The following is a 16,963-nucleotide window of genomic DNA, read 5'->3' on the forward strand; positions in this document are numbered from 1 at the left end:
AAGGAAAAACTTGTCAACAAAGAATTCCATATCTGACAAAACTTTCCTTCCAAAATAAAAGAGAAATAAAGACCTGGTCAAGTAAACAAAAGTTGATGGAGTTTACAACTTGTAGACCTGTCCCACAAGAAATGCTAAAGCGGGTCTTCAAAGCTGGAAAGAGTAACTCATTAGATAGTTATTCAAAACCATATGAGAAATGAAGAGCAACATAAAGCTATCTACATAGTTTAATTTAAAAGCCAGTTTCATAACTATTCTGGTTTGTAACTCATCTTTTTCCCCACATTATTTAAGAAGACAAATGCTTAAAACAATAATTATAAATCTATATAAATGGACACACAATGTATAAAGATGTGGCTTGTGACAGAAACAATATGGGAGGCTGGAGATGTAAATGAGCAGAGTTTTTGTATACTATTGAAATTAAGTTGGCATTCATTCAAATTTGATAGTTACAGACAAACTACTAAGATAAAAATTAAAAAAAAAAACAGAAAAGGAAATAAGGAAGGAATCAAAATGGTTCACAAGAAAAAAATGAACTAATCACAAAATATGGCAGTAATGGAGGACATTACCAACAAACATATGAAAAAAGCCCAACATCACTGATCATTCAAGAAATGCAAATCAAAACCACCATGAGATACCACCTCACACCAGTCAAAATGGCAATTATTAAAAAGTCAAGAAAAAATAGATGCTGGCAAGGCTGTGGAGAAATGGGAACACTTTTACCCTGTGGGTGGGAGTGTAAACTAGTTCAACCGTTGTGGAAGACAGTGTGGTGATTCCTCAAGAACCTAGAAACAGAAATACCGTTTGACCCAGAAATCGCATGACTGGGTATATACCTAAAGGAATATAAATCATTCTACTACAAAGACACATGCACATGTATATTTATTACAGCACTATTTACAATAGCAAAGACATGGAACCAACCCAAATGCCCATCAATGATAGACTGGATAAAGAAAATGTTGTACATATACACCATGGAATACTATGCAGCCATAAAAAGGAATGAGATCATGTCCTTTAGAGAGACATGGATGAAGCTGGAAGCCATCATCCTCAGCAAACTAACACAAGAACAGAAAACCAAATACCACATGTTCTCACTCATAAGTGGAAGTTGAACAATGACAACAAATGGACACAGGGAGGGGAACAACACATACCAAGGCCTGTTTGGGGGGTGGGGTGTCGAGGGGAGGGAACCTAGATGATGGGTCAAAAGGTGCAACAAACCACCATGGCACAGGTATATCTATGTAACAAACCTGCACGTTCTGCACAGGTATCCCGGAACTCAAAGTAAAATAAAAATAAAGAAAATAATCAACAAATCAGGAGTAGAAGAGCACTGACTCAACAGGATAAAGGACATGTATGAAAACTCCAAAGCTAACAATATACTCAGTGGCAAAAAAGTGTAAACTTCCCCCTAAGATAAAGGACAAAACAAAGATACCCACTTTCACTGCTGCAATGCAACACTGTAGTGGAAGTTCTATGAACAACAACTAGGCAATAAAAGGCATCCAAACTGGAAATGAAGAGGGAAAATCATCTCTTTTTAGAGATGCCATGTAGAAAATCCTAAAGAATCCCCCAGAAAACTATTAATTAATAAATGAATTCAAGTTGCAGAATATAAGATTAAAAGACAAAAATTTATTACACTTTTCTACATCAGCGATGAACAATGCAAAAAGAAACTTAGGAAGATAATTTCATTTATAATATCATTAAAAATTAAATAAATGTTTTAATGATTTAACCAAGTAAGTGCAAGGCATGTGTTGAAAATTATAAAATATTGCCGAAATAAATTAAAGAAAAAAAAATTTTTAAATTAAATAAGATGGGGAAAGGCGTGCCATGTTCATGGATTGGAAAATTCAATATTGTTAAGACACCAGTATTACTCAAAGAAATCTACATATTCAATTGAATCCCTATGAAAATCTTAAAGGACTTCTTTTTTTGCAAAAATGAAAAACTGATCCTAAAATTCATATGGAATTGTATTGGACTCTGAATAGCCAGAATAATAGGGGAAAAGAAAAACAAAGTTTGAGGACTTACACTTCCTTCTTTCAAACCTTACTACACCAATCAAAATAGTGTGGTACTAGCATGATGACAGACATATATATATATATATATATATATATATATATATATATATATAGATAGATAGATAGATATATAGATATATAGATATAGATATAGATATAGATATATATGATATATATCTGTATGTATAGCTGTATATGTACATATATCATTTATATACCTAGGTTCAATTGATTTTGAAATTGATTTTAATCCATTGATTTCGAATGGCACAAATATCATTCAATATGAAAATAATAGTCTCAAAAATGGTGCTGGAACAACTGGGTATCCATACGCAAAAGAATTAAGTTGGGCCCATTTATCATACCATAGGCAAACAGTGACCCAAAATGGGTCAATAATCTAAATATAAAAGCTAAAACCATAAAACTGCTAAAATAAAATATAGGGTAAATCTTCATGACCTTGGATTTGGCAATGGGTTTCTTATATGAAACCAAAAGCATGAGCTACAAAATAAAAATAGACACATTGGATTTCAAAATTAAAAATGGATAAATTTGACTACATCAAAATTAAAAATTTTTCTCTTTCAAATACACCATCAAGAAAGTGAGAAGACAACCCACACAATGGGAGAAACTAATTGCGAATCATATATATAACAAGGGCCTATTACTCAAAATATACAAGGAAATTTTACAAATTGACAACAAAATGACAAACAACCTAACTAAAAATTGAGCAGATTATTTGAACAGATATTGCTCTAAAGATATTCAAACAGCCAGCAAGCACATGGAAGTACATTCAATGTTATTAGTCACTGGAAAAACACAAATTAAAAACACACCTCACATCCACTAGGATGCTCATAATCAAAATGTCAGACAGTATCAAGTGTTGACAAGGATGTGGAGAAATTGAAACCCCTGTACATTGCTTGTGAGGATGTAAAATGGTTCTGTTAATTAAGAAAGCAGTTTGGCAGTTCCTCAGTTACCCTGTGACCCAGCAATTTCATTACTAGGTATATACCTGAAATACTTGAAAACAGGTACTCAAAAAAAGAAAAAAAAAAAAACACAGACACAAACGTTAATAGCAGCACTATTCACAATAGAAAAAAAAAGGTGGAAACAACCCGAATGCCTGTCAACAGATGAATGGATAAACAAAATGTGGTGTACACAAACAATAGCATACTATTCAGCCATAAAAAGGAATGAAGTACTGATACATGCTGTGGATTAACCTCTAAAACATGCTAATTTAAAGAAACCAGACACAAAAAAGCACATACTGTATGATTCCATGCGTATGAAACATTTACAAAGGGTAAATCTACTGAGATAGCAAGCAGAATAGTGGTTGCCAGGGGCTAGTGAAGGGGTAAATGAAGAAGGACTAATATGTATGAAATTTCATTTAGGGGTGATGAAAATGTTTTGGAACTACACAGAGGTGATGATTACACAACATTTTTTTTATTATTATACTTTAAGTTTTAGGGTACATGTGCACAATGTGCAGGTTAGTTACATATGTATACATGTGCCATGCTGGTGTGCTGCACCCATTAACTCGTCATTTAGCATTAGGTATATCTCCTAATGCTATCCCTCCCCCCACCCCACAACAGTCCCCAGAGCGTGATGTTCCCCTTCCTGTGTCCATGTGTTCTCATTGTTCAATTCCCACCTATGAGTGAGAATATGTGGTGTTTGGTTTTTTGTTCTTGCGATAGTTTACTGAGAATGATTGGAAATCATCATTCTCCCACCTTCTAAATATGCTTCATCTATGGTCTTCCCAATCTGGGTAAATTGTTCCACCATAAGCCAAGCCCATTCATTATACCTTCTAAATGTCTTTTAACTCTTCCCTCTTCTTTCTGGCTCCATTATTACTGCACAAGCCCAAACGCCATCCCAAAAAGCAACAGCAATGTACTTTGCACCACAAGTCAAGCTTAACTGACTTAGGGCTCACTGTTTTCTGTCTGAAGCTACTGTTCTTTGTTTTCCTACTACTTCCTGATTCTATGCTCCAGATCCATACATTAACTTGCCTACTTGACATCTTCATTTGAATGTCCCAAGTGCACCTCAGTGTAACATGCCCTGGACTTTTACCATCATCTTTTGCCAGGATTATTTCAAGGCATACTAATCGGCCTCCCTGCTTTTCACCCTTGGCCCTTTAATTAATTCTCTGCACAGCAAAGAGTAATATGTTTTACAATGTAAATCAGAACGATATCACTCCTCTGTTTAAAACCTCTCATCAGCTCCTTTTCCTTTTATGACAAATATCAAATTCTATTCGTGTGGCTTACTGGGGTCTACACACTCTGAACACTGCCTACTTCTCCAGTTCTGTCATATGTTGTTCTACCCAAATCTCATTGGACATACTATTTCCTTTGCCAACTCAGGCCTCAGCTTATTCTATTTCCTCTTCCAGAATATAATTTATCCACTAACCCCAACTCTTTTCACTTGGTTAACCCCTATCCTTCCATAAGTTCATCGTTTAAACTTCACATCCTTTAGATAAACATTTATTTCCCTCACCTCTAACAATGGCAGGTCCCTTCCTCTGGCTTCCGCAGAATCATGTGCTTTTCCTTTGAAACACTTAGAACATGTCTAACTATTTACTGCTACATATTTAATATCTTTCCCACCCCTAAAAGGCTAAGTTCCAAGAGGGCAGAGATTTTTATCTTTTTATTCAACATTATATCCCCAATGCCTAGTACAACACTTGGAACATAGCTGGAGTTCAATAAGTATCTGTGAACTTACTTCAACAGTCCTACAATTGTTCCCCTTGCCTTTATTTTTCCCTTTCTATCTCCCCTAAGGTGCAAAATTTGAACAAAACAATTAACTGGTTGCCCAATGCCCTTGATATAAAGGCTAAACACCTCAACATGACATAGAATATCGCATGATCAAGATACTGCTTGTCACTAGAGATTCATCTCCCAACACTCCCTATTCCCACACCAGGCTCCATACTGAACTATTTGCAGTTTCCCTGAGCACTTGGCATATGCCTGCTACAAATAAATCAAATATTTTCAAAATAAATAAATATTTCTTCCAAACAGTTCTAAAATCCACATATCTCTCTCTATTCCACTATCACTATCCTAGTCTAGACACTCGTAATATCTCATGTATTCTTCTTCAGCAACCTCTTAACAGACTTACTCCCAAGTCTGCCCTTTATGCCACTGCCAGAAAGATCTTACTAACATATAAGTTTCAATATGACAATCTCCTCTCTCTCTTAAATTCCCTCAAAGAGTCTAGCCACTTATAAAATGAAATCTAAATTCATTAGTATGACACACATGATTGGTTATATGAGGTCATCAGTTTACGATGCTTGGCAAAATGTCTGTCATACTAAAAGTACTCATAAATGTTAGTCACTGTGTTCTTTTGCTGCAGGAACAAACAAACCCCCCGCATCAATCTCAACATTTGTTGCTCAGGGTCTTCAGGCCAGCTGTGATTTGATAGGGTTCACCTGGGCTCAGGTTCAAATGTGCTCCATGTAGTCTCATTCTGTGACCCAGGCAGAAGAAACAGCAGTCTCATTCTACAACCCAGGCAGAAGAAACAGCAGCTATCTGGGGATATGTTCTTCTCATAGATGGTGGTAAGAGCACAAAAGGCCAAAGCAAACTGTGTGGGCACATTTAAAACCTCTAATGGGACATGGCATATTTCTTACTTGCTCACATTACATTGGCCAAAACTCTCCACTCATCACATGACTAAACTGAAAGTCATTGGGGCAGGGAAGTAAACTGCACCCACTAAGTGGCACGGTAAAGTCACATGGATGAAAAACACTAATATAGAGAGAAACTAGAATAGTTGAAAACAACATTCTAATCCACTAGAGCTTCCATTATTATTCAAAGAACTTCACCAACTTATTCCTACCTACTTTTGCGGTTACATCTTCTGCTACTGCCAAACTTGAAATTTACATTGCAGTAATACTGTGGTAGCTAGTCTCTAAAAATGAGCCCCCAATGATGCGTGCCTTTTGGTATTGGTGGTATTGTATAGGCTCCATCCCTTGAATCTTGGGTGAATATGTTATTCATTAGCCACCAATAGAAGTAGAAGTGACACTGCATGACTTCTTAGCCAGGTCAGAAGAAGTCTTGCAGCTTCAACCTTGCTCCCTTAGAAAAGCACACTTGTGATTCTGTCTCTCAGGAAGCTCCCTCTTGAAACTAGTTATTATATTATGGGAATCCCAAGCCATGTGGAGACCATATGTGTGCACTTCAGTCAACTACCCCAGCTGAACTCTCAATGAATGGCCAGTATCAACTACCAGTAATATGAGTGAGCAATATTGTACATTTACTCCAGTTGAGTCTTCAAAAGACTGTAGCCCCAGCTGAACAACTAACTACAACTGCCAAAGATACCTTAAAAAGGAACCACAAATCTGAATCTGGTCAACTCACAGATTTGTAAGAGAAGGTTATAAATTGCTTTTTAAAAAAATATTACTTTGTTTTGGCATCCTGTGTTTATTTCAGTTGTGGCAAAATACACATAACATAGAACGTAGCATCTTAACTATTTTTAAGTGTAGAGTTCAGTGGTGTTAAGTACATTTACATTGGCATGCAACCAATCTCCAGAACTGTTCTCATCTTGCAAAAGTGAAATTCTATACCCTTTGAACGATATTCTTTTCTCTCCCCTGCAGCAACCACCATTCTACCTTCTGTTTACATGAATTTTGCTATGCTAGGTAACTCATATAAGTGAAATCATACAATATTTGTCTTTTTGTGACTGGATTATTTCACTGAGCATAACATCTTCAAATTTCATTCAAGTTGCAACATATGCCAGAATTATCATCCTTTATAAGGATGATATAATAGTCCATTGTGTGGATAAACCATGTTTTGTTTATTCATTTATCTGTTGATGGATACTTGGGTAGCCTGCACCTCTTTGCCATTTTTAATAATGCTGCTATAAACATAAGTGTATATATATACATATATATATCTTCAAGATCCTGCTTTCAAGTTTTTTGAATATGCACCCAGAACCGAAACTGCTGGATCACATGATAATTCTATTTTTATTTTTTAAGAACTGCTTTACTGTTTTCCAGAGCAGCTGTGCCATTTGACGTTCAAACCAGCAGCTCACAAGGTTTCCAATTTTTCCACATCCTTGCCAACACTTGTTATTTTCTGTTTTTGTTTTTTTTTTTAAATAGCGGTCATCCTAATGTATTTTAAATGGTAAAATATTAAATTATGAAGTGGTTTCTCACACAGCAATAGAAAACTAAAAAGGAACTTAGGACCTAAAGTGAAGTGATGTCTCACCAAAAACTAACACATGTGGCTTCAGCATTGGGACCAGACAGCAGGCAGAAACTAAAAGGACATTAAATAGACTATTAGTTAAGGTTGGAAGAGACTCAGGAAAACTGTTATGAAAAGCTAGAAGGGCCTTGAGAAGACCATGGCTTGGAAAACAGTGAGAAAAGCATTATTGGAGGAAAGATAAGGGGGCCCTTGCCAACACTCACCTGGGCATCATTGAAAATAAATCTGGGGCCCAATCAACTCATTAATATGGCTGGGAAGATTTCCAGGCAGGATATAAAAAATAGCAACTAGTTTCTTCCTCTTCATCTAGAGTGATCAACTAAAGGATGAACTGTTCAGTTTTCAAGCAGATGTGGAAGAAACATAAAGCAGCCAGGGTATGCTGGTTATAGAAATAACTGTTTAAGGAAGGGTATTAGTTCATTCTCACACTGCTATAAAGATACTACCTGAGACTGGGTCATTTATAAAGAAAGGAGGTTTAATTGACTCACAGTTCTGCATGGCTGGGGAGGCCTTAGGAAACTTACAATCATGGTAGAAGGCAAAGGGGAAGCAAGGCACCGCTTACATGGTGGCAGGAGACAGAGAGAGAGACCAGGGGAAACTGCCACTTTTAAACCATCAGATCTCATGAGAATTCCCTCAGTATCACAAGAACAGCATGGAGGAAACCATTCCCATGACCCAGTCACCTCCCACCAGGTCCCAGGCTAAATACATGAGGATTATAATTCAAGATGAGATTTTGGTGGAGACACAGCCAAACCACATCATTCTCCCCTGGCCCCTCTCAAATCTCATGCCCTTCTCACATTTCAAAACACCATCATGCCTTCCAAACAGTCCTCCAAAATCTTAACTCATTCCAACATTAACCCAAAAGTCCAAGTCCAAAGTCTCATCTGAGACAAGGCAAGTTCCTTCTGCCTATGAGCCTGTAAAATCAAAAAGAAGTTAGTTACTTCCAAGATACAATGGGGGTACAGGTAATGGGTAAATGTTCCCATCCCAATTGGGAGAAATTGGCCAAACAAAGGGGCCACAGGCCCCATGCAAGTCCAAAACCTGGAAAGGAACTCATTAAAGCTCCAACATAATCTCTTTTGACTCTATGTCTCACATCCAGGGCACGCCGATGCAAGGGGTGGGCTCCTACAGCCTTGGGCAGCTCTGTCCCTGTGGCTCTGCAGGGTTCAGCCCCTGTGGCTGCTTTCATAGATGGGTATTCAGCGACTGTGGCTTTTCCAGGCTCATGGCAAAAAGTTGTTAGTGGATCTACCATTCTGGGATCTGGAGGATGGTGGCCCTCTTCTCACAGCTCCACTAGGCAGTGCCCCAATGGGGACTCTGTGTGGGGGCTCCAATCTCACATTTTCCCTCTGCATTGTCCCAGTAGAGGTTCTCCATGAGTGCTCCACCCCTGCAGACTTCTGCCTGGACATCTAGGCATTTCTATACATCCTCTGAAATCTAGGTGGATGCTGCCAAGCCTCAACTCTTGACCTCTGTGCACCCGCAGGCCCAATACCACATGAAAGCCACCAAGGCTTGGGGCTTGCACCCTCTGAAGCAATGGCCCAAGCTATACTTTTGCCCCTTTTAGCCATGGATGGACCTGGAGCAGCTGGGACACAGGGCAACCTGTCCCGAGGCTGTACAGAGCACCAGGGCCCAGGGCCCAGCCCACAAAACCATTTTTCCCTCCTAGGCCTCTGGGCCTGTGATGGGAAGGGCTGCCACTAAGGTCTCTGAAATGCCCTGGAGGCATTTTTCCCATTGTCTTGACTAACATTCAGCTCCTCATTAATTAGGCAAATTTCTACAGCCAGCTTGAATTTCTGCCCAGAAAATGGGTTTTTCTTATCTACCACATGATCAGGCTGCAAATTTTCCAAACTTTGATGCTCTGCTTCCCTTTTAGATAAAAGTTCCAGTTTCTGATAATCTCTTTGTGAATGCATATGACTGAATGCTTTCAGAATCAGCCAGGTCATAACTTGAATGCTTTGCTGCTTAGAAATTTCTTCTGCCAGATACCCTAAATCATCTCTCTCAAGTTCAAAGTTCCACAGATCTCTAGGGCAGGGGCAAAATGCCACCAGTCTCTTTGCTAAAAAAATAGCAAGAGTGACCTTTGCTCCAGTTCCCAATAAGTTCCTCATCTCTATCTGAGACCACCTCAGCCTGGACTTCATTGTCCATATCACTATCAGCATTTTGGTCAAAACCATTCAACAACTCTCTAGGAAGTTCCAAACTTCCCCACATTTTTATGTCTTCTTCTGAGCCCTCCAAACTGTTCCAACCTCTGCCTCTTACCCAGTTCCACAGTCACTTTCACATTTTCAGGTTATCTTTATAGGAGTACCCCACTCTGCTGATACCAATTCTCTGTATTAGTCTGTTCTCATATTGCTACAGAGATACTACCTGAGAATGAGTAATTTATAAAGAAAGGAGGTTTAATTGACTCACAGTTCTGCATGGCTGGGGAGGCCTCAGGAAACTTACAATCATGGTAGAAGGCAAAGGGGAAGCAAGGTACATCTTACATGGCAGCAGGAGAGAGAGATTAGGGGAAACTGCCACTTTTAAACCATCAGATCTCGATAGAACTCCCTCACTGTCATGAGAACAGCATAGGAGAAACTGCCACCATGATCCAATCACCTCCCACCAGGTCCCTCCTTTCACACATGAGGATTACAATTCAAGATGAGATTTGGGTAGGGAAAAAGAGCCAAATTATATCAGGAGGAAAGATTAAATCCTTGGCCAGATGACAGGATTTCAGTAAGATCCTTAGTTAAGACCTCAGAAAGATCTGTGCTTATAAATCAATCTATAAGTTCCTTATAGAAAACTCAAGGTACCAACAAAAGACCATTCTAAGGATCTTAATGGCATACCTCTAGACCCCTGTCATAAACAACAGAGATTTTAAAAATCTTCACAGTCTTGTTCCACAGCAGCCCAGAGGTCCAAGATAGAAAAAAGCCTGTCTCAAAGAGATTTGTGGATACAGTTTTGTCTAATTATACTCTTTACTATATACTGCTTCAAAGGTGTGACATGCTCATACTCTTTCCTCTTTTCACCATTCCCTTCTTCTCTCCCTGATTAAAACCTACTCAACATTCATTCAATGAAAACTTAATAAGCTACAGTTAGGTACAAGGCACTATTACTTTAAAAATATACTTAAAAAATGTACAAGATCTTTTGTAAAAAAGCTAACAGAATTTGACTACTATAGTTGGACTATAGGATTAGGAATAATGTTCATTTTTTCTTCTCTTTTGACCCACCTATATTTCTAAATTTCTTACAGTAAACTATATTGACTATTTTTTTAAAGATAGAGTAGAAGATTCTCTTCCCTAGCAGAACCCATATTTTGTTGGAGGTGACAATGTGTCCAGGTAAAAAACTCACTTCATCAAGCTCACTTGCAGTAACTGTTGGCCATGTGGTTTTATTCTAGCTAATGAAACAAAAGCTGAAGTTTTCTGGGAAAGCTTTTCATTTTTCTAATGAAGACACCACATCTTCCTGCTATCCTAGTTCTTCTTCCTGCTAGGAATGCAGGCATAATGCCTATAAATGTAGCAGGCAACTTGCAGCCATAATGATGAAAGAAAAAGTTGGATTAAAAGTTTGAGCCTGGGTTGATGATACTATCATGGAGCAACCACACCAACTATAGATTACCTACCTCAATATTTATTTTATTTTTATTTTTTAAGTTTATTGTGGTATGGTACAATTTACATAAAATTCACCCTTTATAAGTGTACAATGATGTGATTTTTGACAAATATATACAAACAGATATACATTACCACCAGCATAATTAAGATGTAGAATGTTTCCATCACCCCCAAAAAGTTTTCTCATGACTTTCATACTCAATCCTCTCCCCAAGCTCCCGGCCTCTAACAAATGCTAACCTATTTTCTGCCTCTATAGATTTGTCATTTCCTGAAAATTACATAAATTGAATCATATAGTATATACCCTTTTGTATGTGGTTTAACTTAGCGTAATGCTTTCTTGATTCATCCATGTTGTTGCACATATCATTAGTCTGTTCATATTTATTTCTTAGAAGTATCTCATTGTTTTAGATATACCACAATATGACCATTCATTCACCAGCTGATGTGCATTTGGATTATTATCATATTTGTCTATTTAGAATAAACCAGACGTGAACATTCATGAGGTCTTTCTGTGGACATATGTTTGCATCTCTCTTGGGTGAAACACATAATCACATCTCTTTATGGATTATCTATTCCATTCCATTTATCTATATGTCCATCTTTGTACACCATACTGTCTTCAGTACAGTAAATTTACAGTAAGACTTTTTTAATATTTAAATTTTAGGTTCAGTGGGTACATGTGCAGGTTTGTTACATGAGTAAATTGCATGTCACTGAGGCTTAGTGAATGAATGACTCCATCACCAAGGTAGTGAACATAGTACGTGATAGGTAGCCTTCCAACCCATGCCTCTCGCCCCACCATCCCTCCTCAAGCAGTCCCCAATATCTATTGTTCCCATCTTTGTTTCCATGTGTATTCACTGTTTAGCCCCCACTTGTAAGTGGGACTATGAAGTATTGGTTTTCCGTTCCTGCTTAATTTGCTTAGGATAATGGACTCCAGCTGCATCCATGTCGCTGAAATGAACATGATTTCCTTCTTTTCTTTGGCTGCATAGTATTCTATGGTGTATATGTACCACATTTTCTTTATTCTGTCCAGCATGGATGGGCATCTAGATTGATTCTATGTCTTTGCTATTGTGAATAGCACTGTGGTGAAGATATGAGTGCAAGTGTCTTTTTGGTAGAAAAATTTATTTTCCTTTGGGTATGTATTAGCGTTCTCCAGAGAGACAGAACCAACAGGATAGATGTCTATATATAAAGGAGTTTATTAGAGAATTTGCTCATACTACTACAAGGCAAATTCCTACAATAGGCATTCTGTACGCTGGGGAAAGAGAGAAGCCAAAAGTGGCTCAGTCTAAGTCCAAAAATCTCAAAACCAGGGAAGCCAATAGTGCAGCAAAAGGCCCAAAAGTTTCTGGAAAGCCACTTTGCTGGAAGTCCCAGAGTCCAAAGTCTGAAGAACCTGGAGTCCAATGTGCAAGGGCATAAGGAGTGGAAGCAAGCATCTGGTATGGGGAAAAAAAGAGAGCCAGAAGACTCAGCAAGCAAGCTATCCCCCTTTCTTCCACCTGCTTTGTTTTAGCTGTGCTGGCAGCCAATTGCATGGTGCCACATTGAGGGTGGGTCTTCACTCCCAGTCCACCAGCTCGAATGTCAATCTCCTCCGGCAACACCCTCACAAACACACCCAGAAACAACACTTTACCAGTTATATAGGAATCCCTCAATTCAATCAAATTGACACCTAATATTAACCATCACATATACCCAATAGTGAGATTGCTGGGTCAAATGGTAGTTCTGTTTTAAGCCCTTTTGGCAATCTCCAGACTGCTGTCCGCAGTGGCTGAATTATTCACATCTCCACCAGGAGTGTATAAACAACCTCACCAGCATCTGATGTTTTCTGACTTTTAAGTAATAGTTATTCTGACTGGTGTGAGATGGTATCTCATTATGGTTTTGATTTGCATTTCTCTAATGATTAATGATAATGAGCATTTTTCATATATTTGTTGGCCACGTGTATGTCTTCTTTTGAGAAGTGTTTGATTATGTTCTTTGCCCATTTTTATTGGGGTTGTGTTTTGCTTGTGAATTTGTTTAAATTCTTTAGATTCTGAATATTAGACCTTTGTTGGATACATAGTTTGCAAATATTTTCTCCCATTCTATAGGTTGTCTCTTTACTCTGTTGATAGTTTCTTTTGCTGTGCAGAAGCTCTTTAATTATATCTCACTTGTCAATTTTTATTTTTGTTGTAATTGCTTTTGAGGACTTAACCATAATTCAGATGTGGATGGGTGTAGCTCCTAACACACATGGTAAACTGAGGTAGCTGACAGATGTTTGAGTTGTGCACACATGTGCATTTTGTGCATTCCTACACTGCTCACTACAGGTGGAGTTTTCTGTGTTCCCCTAGTGTTTTTCTTGAACAAAATAATGCATACGTGAAATGTGCATTATGGTCAAATTGTTCCCTAATATATCAATTGTGTTGAAACAAATTCAAATTTTCAAAGCAAGAGTTATAACATAACTGACTGCATGTTAGACGTTAAAATAGACATGTCTAATAGGCAGTTGGATTTATAAGTCTAGAGTTTATGGCAGAGGTACCAACTAAATATAATTTAGAAGTCATCAACATATATACGCTATTGAAAGTCATGCAACTGGTTGAGACTACCTAGGGAGTGCATATAAATATAGAAGACATCAAGTTCTAGGACATTCCAACGTTTAGAAGTCAGGAAGATGAGGAGGAATCAGGAAAGGATTCTGAGAAGGAATAGTCGAAATGGTTGGAGGAGAATCAGGGAAGTGGGCTTTCCTAGAAGCCAAGTGTAGAAAGTTTTTCAAGGAAGAGGGAGGAACCAACTGTATCGAATAAAGCAGATAGGTCAAGTATAAAAAAGGACTAGGAAACATTCTTGTAATCTGGTTACCTGGAGGGGACTGGTAACTTTGACAAGAATAGTTGAGTAGAGTGGTGAGAAAGAAGGCCTGATGGGAAATAGTTGAAGAGGAATTGGGAAAAAAAAGGACTGAAGACAGCTAGTACGGGGAATTATTTTTCGAGGGAAAGAAAAATACAGCAAAGCTGGTATGATACATCAGAATTTTTCTTTAAGATTGAAGAAATTACAGCTTGTTTATATGCTGATCAGAACAGAGGTCCTGGGTGTAGATGCAGGTAGGTGGAAAAGATGTTGATAGTATGTGGAGATTCCCTTTGATTGCCTCTGTTTTCTCAGTGAAGCAGAAAGCAAGATCATTTTCAGCTGAGAGTGAGGCAGGAAAGGAGGTGTTGGCATTCCAGGAGAAAAGAATCAAACCATTGTTCAGGAGAGTTTGAAAGGACTAGGGTAACAGAATAACATATTTATTTTTTAAAGTTCCTAGATAGAACCACTGGATCAAAGGATGCATATAATTTTCATTTTGTTAGATACTGTCAAATTGCCCTCTGACAGTACATTAGTTCACATCCCCACATGTGACAATGCCTGCTTTCTCAAGCCTCTGCCAACACAGTATGCTATCAAGCATTTACGCCCTTTTCAATCTGAGGGTTGAAAATGATATCTCAGTGCAGTTTTAGTTTGAAATGTTCTTATTTATGTGAAATTGAGCATTTTTTCTTATGAATAGTGACAAAGGACCACAGATAAAACTAGATCCTTCCAGGGAGCTGTGACTTGGTAATTTAGGCAAACAATTTCTTTTCATTTTCTGTCTCCATCCACTCAACCAGTATTTACTGAGTGTCTACTATGGATTATACGCTGTTCTATTGACCAAGGGATACAGCAGTGAACAAAAAAAAATCAATATCAGAAGCTAAGCTGGGAGCCATATCCCAGAATCACAGAAACTCGAGGGAAGAAGAGGTCACAGGTAACCGCCATGATCAAGACAAGAACCCAGGGCAGAAATCAAGCTTTCTGTTAGGTGCTATGGAGAGGAACACTAAGATTTTTGAGCAGGCAAATGATATAAAATCGAGCTGAGCTTTAGGATGACAAATCAACCCATTTGTTTGTGGATTAAGGATTAAGGAAAAGCAGCAGCTGGTTCATGGGAAGTACTTAGTAAATGTGAAAGGGGAAAAAAAAGGACTTTCCATGAGGGAAAGGTGGCTACAGATACAATAGAAGTCCTCTTCTTCACAGAACTCTGAATCAGTTGGTCTTGTAGGTACTCAGAGAAAAATTGAATATAGAGGAATTAACTACTAAAAGCTGTGCTCAGCCACTCTCCCAGGTCCCCTGGACTCCCTGTGATTTTCCAGGCATTGTAGCAATGGGTGATTCTAGAGCGGAACTGGAGGCACAATGCCTATTTAAAGATATATTTTCAGCCTTAAAGAATTCCTCCTGGCAATGCTCTCAGCTGCAGCCCTTGGGAATTGATGCAAATTTCCACTCAGGTATCAAATTACATATGCTGAACGATGTAATTCAAACTTATCTGAACCAAGTTCCTCAGTGCTAAGCTGACATGCAAACCAAAAAAGCCATGCTATTTGAGTAGTTTCCTTGATTTCTCCTTCCACTGGCAGTACCCACATGTCTACAATTCCAGTCAATCTTGTAAACTGGAAAACTTCCCAATCAAAATAGGAAGCATTCATCAAATATAATCATAAACTCCTGTCCTGGAACTCCTTGTGGTGTCCCTGGAAGCTGAAGATGTCGTTTGGGAAAGCACTTAGCCAGGCAGCAATATTGCTCAACCTTTCCCCTCTCCTGGCACCCTGGAATTCTCTTGCAAAAAGTTGCCAAGTCATAAATCACTAGAGCTGTGTTGAAGTTTGAAAATTTTTAGTTTCCCTAAACCTCCTTCCAGTCCTCACAAAGTCCAACTACATGGCTGTTTTAGGCGCCTACACTGAGATTCCTGCTCATTTCGACACAAATCTTGATAACCCCAACATCAATCCCTCCCTAGTGTGAAGTAATCTGAGCAATTCTCTGTTCTTGTAAAACAAGAACCTGATTTCCCATGTATTGGTTATTTAGCAATGAACTCATTACTTCATCACTGAGGATACATAGCAACCTTAGCAACCTTTGGATGGTTGTGAAGAAAAAGTGAATTATCATGTACTACATGTCTTCTAAGTGTCAGGCACTGTGTTGGGTGTTTATAAAAGTTATCTCATTTTGGTCAGGATCATGACTGTAATGTAAGATACTCTGTAAACATTAAACACTCTAGAATATAAGAAATTATTATTGTGGGGTATTAATGCTGCAATCCTTCCTTTACAATGAGAAAATTCACAGAAAGCATTCCCATAGTGTCTCATACTTTTCTCAAGATCCGTAGTCCTAACAAAAGGCAAATGGTGATATCACATATGTCTGCATTCGCTCATTGGACTGTTAGCAATCAGAGGGCAAAGACTAGGTGTTATTTTTCCTTTGTCCACAGCCAAGCAAAATAAGCAGTGCCTAGGTCAAAACAGGTGCCTAGAAAATGTGTGTTAAGTAATTTGAAGGCAATTCAGGGTGAGGAGGTCAGACACTAATTGACAATGCTGATGAATGTGATGACTGATTGATAAAGATGACAGAAGTGCCATGCTTAGAAACAATTCTTATCCTTACCATGGCCTGGAACCCTCTAGTATCCTTCTTCTGCTAACTTCTGCTAACTCACTATGATCCAAACACAGCAGCCTTCTTGCTATATTTCAGACATACCAAGCAACCCCTACCGCAGGACCTTTGCCTTTGCTGCTCTTCATGGCTTACTCTTACTTCATTCAGGTCT

Source organism: Homo sapiens, chromosome X, assembly GCF_000001405.40.
Source record: "Homo sapiens chromosome X, GRCh38.p14 Primary Assembly".
Lineage (NCBI taxonomy): Eukaryota > Metazoa > Chordata > Mammalia > Primates > Hominidae > Homo > Homo sapiens.